We start from the raw sequence: 8,741 nt of genomic DNA on the forward strand, positions 1-8,741 counted from the left end.
ACTTGGGCTTTTCAGATCAGAATTCTCAGCCTCTAACACTGTGCCTGCCTGGAAAAAGGGCAAATCAATGAGACACAATATTCAGAGAAATAAAATTGTTTCTAATGAAGTTGGAGAGACTAATCTGTTACTTGGGTCTGTGTGAGTGGGCAATCTTTTCACCTGCTTGAGAGTTAAAAAAAAAATCATGAAATAGCCTCCCGATTTACTTTTCTTTCCCAGATTTGTACGTTACAGGTGCAATATTAGAAAGATCACAGGGCACAGAGTTAGACAGATGTGGGTTCAAATGCAAGGTTCACCACTCGGCTTGTTATGTTTTGTTAGAAAATCCACTTAACCCTCTGAACCTTTTCTTCATCTATAAAATTCAATAATATTGACTCCAAAAGATTAGTGTGAGGATTAAGTGAAGCAGGATACATAAAACTAGCATCATCAAAGGTTTTAGAAAGTATGTTAAACACCTACTGTGTGCCAGTCTGACACCAATAACCTTTGGGGAATCCTAATTGTGTATCTTGAAAGTCAGGCAAAGTAGAGCTTTGTTCCCACGCAGAGGACTCAGAGGTGAATTTACTTTCTTCCTAATCAGGAAAGAATTGCAGATGGGTGGGCAAGGTTGGGCCAGCTTCAAGCCTGGCAGATAACCAGTTAGGCTTAGCTGTGTCTATCCTGGTGCCAAAAAATGCTCATCCACAGAGCAGGGCTTTATCCTCAGGGAACGAGGGAACAGCTGCCCCCAGCTGTGCTTGCCACATGTTACTTTGCTTTGTTGAGACAAGCACTGCATGTGACCTGCTGCCCAGCAATGTCCCTTCCTCTGAGGCTGGCAGGGGCTCTTTCCAGAGCACCCCTCCTCAAAGGGACAAAACAGTATGATTCAGGTAACAGCCACTGATCTACTCTTCAGCACCAGGCTGTTTGATCTGCGCTTGCTCACTGAATCTTCAACTAGCTTAAGAAATAGCCACATTGTGCCTATTTAATACACGGGGGAACTAGTACCAGCAAATCTGTGATGCTAGAATTATTTGATTTATCTCAGCTTTAAAAACTGAATTCTTTCTTCTCTATAGTAGCATAGAATGGGGAGATTTGTACTTCATCTTCAGAAGACATTAATAATCACAACACAATAATACAAATTACAGTAATAGTTAACATTCACTGAGCTATTATTAGGCTTTTTTTTCATGAGGCAGAGTCTCACTATATTGCCCAGACTGGAGCACAGTGGTGTGATTTCGGCTCACTGCAACCTCCACTTCCCAGGCTCAAGCATTCTCGTACCTCAGCCTCCCGAGTACCTAGGATTACAGGAGGATTACAGGTGCCCACTACCAAGCCTGGTTTTCTTTTATTGTATTTTTAGTAGAGATAGGCTTTCACCATGTTGGCCAGGCTGGTCTTGAACTCCTGACCTCAAGTGATCTGCCTGCCTCACCCTCCCAAAGTGCTGGGATTACAGGTGTGAGACACTGTGCCAGCCTAAGCAGTGGTTTTCAATGGAAATTAATTTTGCCCCCCAACCCCTGAAACATTTGAAAATGTCTGAGACATTTTTGGAGTGCTATGGCATCTGGTGGGTAGAGGCCAGTGATGCTGCTAAACATCCTGCAGTACATAGGACAGTTCCCAGCAACAAAGAATTGTCTAGTCCAAAATGCCAGTTGTGTGGATGTTGAGAAACCCTAATGTAAATAATTTCAATGGATTATGTCTTTTCATTTTTATTAAGGCCAGGCATGGTAGATCACACCTGTAGTCCCAGCACTTGGGGAGGCTGAAGTGGGCAGATCATGAGGTCAGGAGATAAAGGCCATCCTGGCCAACATGGTGAAACCCCATCTCTATTAAAAATACAAAAATCAGCTGGGCATGGTGGCACATGCCTATAATCCCAGCTACCCAGGAGGCTGAGGCAGGAGAATCACTTGAACCAGGGAGTTGGAGGTTGCAGTGAGCCGAGATGGTGCCACTGCATTCCAGCCTGGCGACAGAGCAAGACTCCATCTCAAAAAAATAAAACTCAACAAGGTAGATATAATTTTGTCCCTTTAAGACAAGAAATCTGAAACATAGAGAAGTTAGGTTCTTCTTGCAAGATGGCACCAGGATGTAGTGATACTAGGAATTTGAACCCAGGGATCCTGAGGCCAGCACTCCTGACCACAACAGGGCCATTAGCTCATTTGAAGTTCCTCAAAGTACTCAATAGATTGCCTGGTGCTTACAGAAATGAAGAGGCTGTCCTGTGAAAAGATAATCAGGGAAGTCCTCCTGAAAGGAATCCTGAGCTAAACTCAGACTCCTCTGAGTCCCACACTGCAAGTAGGTGGCAGGCTTTGGGCCCCATCCCACCCTTCATGCTTCTCAGCCGGGACCCTCCACAGGGTCATGCTGTGTTCAAATGAGCAAATGGATGCGAAAGTGCTTAGAAAAGGACCATAGCTATAGCAACATGAGGGATAAATATGACACATTGACTTTTCACAGGAGAATGCCTTAAAGCCTTTAAAATGTACACATCTCTACAATCTACCTAAAGTGAAGTTTTCATGGGTGAAGGCTACAGTAGGGGAGACTCTTCAGGCAATAAAGTCTTCCATATTATCACCCTCTCTAGCCCAGGGCAAGCTTCCATCTATGGCTTAATGCTCATTGTCAATCACGCACAAATGTAATCCTATTTAGGTGGCCCCAAAGCGCGTGTGAACTGATTTTCTAAACTAATTGGACAAATTTGTTTTCTAGATTGGTTTTCTGGGGTTTTGATGGCTTTATTCTTTGAGTTTTAATCAAGGTTGTTAAGTTGACAGTATTTGACAGCACCTTGTTTTCAGTTTACATTGCAATAGTCTCAGCCAAAGGAGGTCTCCCCAGTGTTTCTTACACCCTAGACCCTTAATTTCTATACTTAAAAATCTCATGATTCTTTGCTAATAGAGCTCAGAGGGTCCTAGAAACTATTTGGTGAAATCTAAACGTTTTATGGTTGTGGTAATTGGGGCTCAGAGGAAAAGGAAAAGACTGCTATTATAATAATCACAATCATAATAAGCAAGAATTATCATGGCTAATATCTCTGCATATGTGTATAAGGTTTTAAAGCTTATAAATCATTTTTATTTAACTGTTCTTGCTTGAACATCAAAGCAAAATCATTAGGCAAAAAGGCAATAGTCTTACGTTGCAGGTGCAAAATAGATGAAGTGGGTTGCTTAGAATTACATAGTTAAGAGAAAGTAACTCTTGTCCCTACACCTAAACTCAGGTCTTGTGGCAAATTATTGTGTACTCTTGCCCCTACATATCTCTGCACACAGCTACTTAATAAGCCAAACCAATTTCCTAACCTTTTTATTGTTTTGAAGGGCATAAGGAGGCCATGTTCGATGAGTCAGACAGATCTGGGTTCAGGGTCTGTTTTTATACCCAACAGAAATGTGACCACAGACAAACTATTTAACTTGTCTGGACCTTAATGTCTCTAGCTTAAGAACATATTTTTGTATAATTATTGATCATGTGTTAGTACCTGTTATAACAAAATGTGGCTTTCACTATTAAAATGGATTACTCTGACTTTTTGACTTCAACTGGCCACCAATGAGGTCACTATGTGATGTTCTACTGTTCTTGGAGACATAGGTATTATTCTGGCCAAACTCTTATTCCTATGCCAAATAATGAACCATTCTCCTTCCTTTATGGGTGACCTCCTACTCATGGAAAGTAAAACAAGTTATGAAGACTTGCTGCACCCAGAGGCATCCTTCATGATTAAAGGATAAACACACAAGTTTTTTGAGCAAAATAGAATGTTTCTTTACGACAATTAAAACAATCTTCCCCAATCACATACGATGGCTGTTTTGAAGCTGTTTTCCCAGTCCAAGGTCAGATAGGGGTCAGGGCTCTATTATTCTTTCCTCTCCAGAATTTACTTAATTTGCAGCTTAATAAGAACCAAGCATGCCTCTGGCCAACAAAAAAGCTGATTACATACAAGGCTGCATTATTGCTGTACAGCCTCCAGTAGCATATCCCCCATGGCCCCTTGCTTCTGTGCATGCTACATGGTCCCTACTTCTCACTGAAAAGTGTGCTCACCCATCTTGGACAACCCCAGTCCCCACAGCCTGCTCCTTCTGGGGCGTCTCAGTCTCAGTGAATGACAACAACATCACTGTTGTCAATCACAACAGAAATCTGGTGGTCATCTTCGGATGGTGGAGATAAGAGAACCATTTCCTTTGGAGTTTAACTTTGAAGGGCCTTCCAAATCTAGCCCATTTCTAAGCTCCAGTCTCACTACCCTCATTAGGACTATTCTCATGTCCTACTTCAACTGTTAAAATAACCATTCCAAGTCTGCCTCCAAAAGCTCAATATTACTGGAGAGTAAAGGTGAAACATATCAGAGGTCATATCATGAAGGTCTTCATATGCTATGCTAAGGAGAGTTTATTTGGTAAGTAATGGGGATCCAAGTGATGGGAACAGATTTGCATTTTAGAAAAATCATTCTTACTGCAAGTGTAGATGGTGAACTCAAAGATATATGAGTAGAAGAGAGAGAGAGCAGGCTAAAGAGGCAGTTGCAACAATCTCTGTGAAAGGGTATCATAAACTTAAGTAGTGTGGTAACAGTGGAGATGGAGCAGATGGGATGGTGTGAGAAACAGTAATATGGTAGAAATAAAAGGATTGGCATTTAACATGGTCCAGGGGATGAGATGGACCAGAATCTAAGATAATGAAAAGGTTTATGTCTTAGAATGGCTGGAAACATATACACTGGAAAACAGAAAATGCAATGAGATGAAATATTTCTTTAAATACCTCAAGAGATGTCAGAGGACAAAAAACTCTGATGATTCAGTTTCTGAATGTCTTCCAAAGGCAAAACAAAGGCAGCTGAAATTGGGAAATGTAGATTTGAGTTTGGTGTAAATACAGCATTCTCTGAATGATTTCTACTAAAGGTTGCCCCAAATGGGCTCTGATGGGGAGTTCATTAATTCACAGATAGGTTCAGTCTCTAGTTGCATAGTGTGGATGAATCATTTATAAACATGAAGATTCCTTCAAACATGATGATTCTAGGATTCTCTGTGGCCCAGAGGATTAACCTCATGAAGAGGCACAATGATGTCATCAAGACCGCGCTGGGCTCGTAATCTGTCTGGTGCCCAATGTTCTGGCCCGGTTCTATGCCTGCCTAACTTACAGGGTGACATTAAGTCAGTTGCTTTTTTCTCCCTGGGTCTTCCATCAACATAAAAAAACAAGGAGTTGGTATAAATAATAATAGAAACAAAAATAGCAAACACCCCGTGAATAGTAGCTGCTTTTGTTGTGGTCAAGCATCATGCCCCATCTGTCATGTATTTTATGGTATTTAATCCTCACAACCGCACTATGGGCATTATTCATCTCTCCATTCTACAAGTAAGGAGGCTAGGGTTCACAGAGATTATCTCCTTTGTTGTTCTTACACATTGTGATTCTGTTGTTCCAGTGTCAATGGAAGTTGAAGCTAAGTCTTGTTATTACAGCCCGCTAGAGAAAAGACCCACAAACTGCTGAAGAAGTCCCTGCCTTTTCTGGGGTTTGATTATTGCACCTTCCCTGGCTTCTAAAAGAGACCCCAAGATTCTGCTTCTTACTCAAACTAGCTGGCATTTCCACTCCATGAACCATTACAATACCCTAGTTCTCAGGTAACTTAAAGCTGGGTGGAGGATATAATTTTATATACACAAATAGGCACAAATGGCCATCTTTCCCTCTCTCTCTCCAGATCAGGTACCATGTCTGATTCACTTTTGTTTGCTCAGTGACTAGTGCAGGGTCTGGCATTTCTCATGCACTCTGTCAGTATTTGTTGAATAAAAGGCTTGTGAAATACTTCATAATGATTATGAAAAATGTATTCACAATAGCTGTTAGAGTATATATACATTCCGCATCTACTATCAGCACAGAACTGAACTCAAAGTGGGAAAAGGGCAAATTTGCAGGAGAAAAAAATTTTTTTTTCTTTTTCTTTTTTTTCTTTTTTGAGACGGAGTCTTGCTCTGGCACCCAAGCTGGAGTGCAGTGGCGCGATCTTGGCTCACTGCAACCTCTGCCTCCCGGTTCAAGCGATTCTCCTGCCTCAGCCTCCCACATAGCTGGGATTACAGGAATGAGCCACCACACCCTACTAATTTTTGTATTTTTAGTAGAGATGGGGTTTCGCCGTGTTGGCCAGGCTGGTCTTGAACTCCTGACCTCAGATGATCCACCTGCCTTGGCCTCCCAAAGTGCTGGGATTACAGGTGTGAGCCACCGTGCCCAGCCAGAAAAATTTTTAAAAATTAGAACATACACTATTTGAGATGCCCACTAGCATCCAACTGGAGCTCTCTAGTAGGCATCCAGATATACAAATGGCAGAGCAACACGGGAGGGTGGGTCTATGGATAGAAATTTCAGAGTGATAGTATCTAGATAGGTGGCATTTAAGTCCATGGGACCAGGTGGGATCACCAAAGGAGTAAGAGTAAAGACAGAAAATAGGAAATAACCAAAGGAAAGCATCCTTAAGCACTCCAACATAGAAAATGGGGAAATGGGGGGGAACCAGTAAAAGGGACTAAAAGTCATAGCAAATGTTCTAGGAGAAAAGCCAGAAGTTAAGAGAAGTGTCCCAGAAGCCAAGTGAAGAAAAGAAGAAAAAGAAGTGATTGATTCAAGTGCTGTTGAGAGTTTAAGAAACATGAATTTACCATAGTATTTGGCAAGGGGCAGGTGACTGGTAATATTGATGAGGGCAGTTCAGAGATGTGGTGATACTGATGAGGGCAGGTCGGAGATGAACATTTGCACAGAAGGGTGTGTTGATCACTTGCTTGTTTGATCTCACATCCATCCCATCTGACACTTCTTAGTTTTACATTGCAGGGAAATTCAGTTTCCAATACTCCTTGCCAAGTGGCTTCAGAGCAGATCGTATTTATGGGAGAACCTGGCAAAAAATTGATGGACAGAAGGAAAATACCAGCTAGAATATGTCTCTCCCTGCTTTGAGTAGCCCTTCCAACAGGGCTTGCATCTTCTCCATGATTCTGGCTACCACTGGCCATTCCTCTCTTTGTGGGTCCAAGTTCTTACTGAGTAGACCTTCTGAGGCTCCAGCCTCCTTGGAGCTCTGGAAACAACGGCTCCTTCCTCCATCTCCCTCATTCTCCTTGTGGTAGTGGCCTTCTACCATGGTTAATGTTGGAGTTGCCTTACCTTTTCGTGGCCACTCTTTCATCTCTTCCCCATGCAGAGCCCACTCCCAGAGATATGTCTGACTTTATTCATTTTATTTTTGGTCAGCAAAATCCAGAGCCCTGCATTCTACACATTCTGGGCTATTATCCAGGCATCCCTGTGGTTTCCAAGCACATTTTTGAGAAGGGCGTGGGGACCTGATCCCCAAGAACAAATGTTCATTGGGTGTTTTAGCGAATGGCCCCTGGGGTGGCTGATAGCCTATTAATAGCTATGGTAGATTATGCCTCCTCCTGAGGCATAATCCCTTTCCCAGGTGCAGTGGGCAGACTCATCCACAGGAAAGGTTTAAGCAAATAAATGTGCTACCACTATTTCTGAGTGTCCCATCTGAGGAATGCTGAAAAGAAGGCACACACATAAATTAACTCAGCATGTTTTGCATAAATGAATGGGAGGCAAATTCAATGGGCTACAGAAATGGGGAGGGAGTCTCAACTTCACCCAGTTATTTTCTCCAGGTGAATCATGAGTTTCTGATATTTGAAAATACTTAAATCTGAGCTTCTTAGATTTTGAGTTTCTTGGTGTAATTCTTGTGTCTCCAGGACTCCCCAGTCTATTCATGTAAATTGTGTCCCTTTAATAATAACAACCCATATTTCACTGGCATTTCCCCCAGTCGGCTTCTGCAGGCCCTTTAGCCCATCCCAAATGTTCTACTGGGATGGCTCTTCTCTGTCTCCCCAACACCCCTGTCAGATGGTGCCAGTTCTCAGCTAGGTTCTGATAACACCTTCTTCCCTTCTCCCTTCTGACCTAAGGGTGGTAAATCCTTCCTTTAGGTGCTGGTCCCTGGGTGCCTCACCATCTGTGATGGTTAATACTGAGTGTCAACTTGATTGGATTGAAGGATACAAAGTATTGATCCTGGGTGTGTTGGTGAGGGTGTTGCCAAGAGATATTAACATTTGAGTCAGTGGGCTGGGGAAGGCTGACCCACCCTTAATCTGGTGTGCACAATATAATCAGCTGCCAGTGAATATAAAGCCTCCCAGCCTACATCTTTCTCCCATGCTGGATGCTTTCTGCCCTTGAACATTGGACTCCAAGTTCTTCAGTTTTGGGATTCTGACTGGCTCTCCTTTCTTCTCAGCTTGCAGACGGTCTATTGTGGGACCTTGTGATTGTGTAAGTTAATATTTAATAAACTCCCCTTTAAATATATATATATATATGAACCATGTATATATATATATATGAACCATATATATATATGTATGAACCTTATATATAACCATATATATATAAAACCTCATATGAGGTTATATATATATGGTTAATATATATATGTAAGGTTCATCTATATATGTAAGGTTCATCTATATATAAGGTTCATCTATATATAAGGTTCATCTATATATATATATGGTTCATCTATAAAGGGGAGTTTATTAAGTATTAACTTACAC

At 41.9% G+C, this 8,741-nt stretch overlaps 2 annotated features.

Moving 5' to 3' along the window:
- Window positions 253–753: an enhancer, noted in NCBI's record as "H3K27ac hESC enhancer chr1:56185632-56186132 (GRCh37/hg19 assembly coordinates)". NCBI's record gives its function as "activates a minimal SCP1, AML or CMV promoter by ChIP-STARR-seq in naive H9 embryonic stem cells {active_cell/tissue: H9 hESC(naive)}" and the evidence as "EXISTENCE:reporter gene assay evidence [ECO:0000049][PMID:30033119]".
- Window positions 754–1,254: an enhancer, noted in NCBI's record as "H3K27ac hESC enhancer chr1:56186133-56186633 (GRCh37/hg19 assembly coordinates)". NCBI's record gives its function as "activates a minimal SCP1, AML or CMV promoter by ChIP-STARR-seq in naive H9 embryonic stem cells {active_cell/tissue: H9 hESC(naive)}" and the evidence as "EXISTENCE:reporter gene assay evidence [ECO:0000049][PMID:30033119]".

Source organism: Homo sapiens, chromosome 1 (genome assembly GCF_000001405.40).
Source record: "Homo sapiens chromosome 1, GRCh38.p14 Primary Assembly".
Classification (NCBI taxonomy): domain Eukaryota; kingdom Metazoa; phylum Chordata; class Mammalia; order Primates; family Hominidae; genus Homo; species Homo sapiens.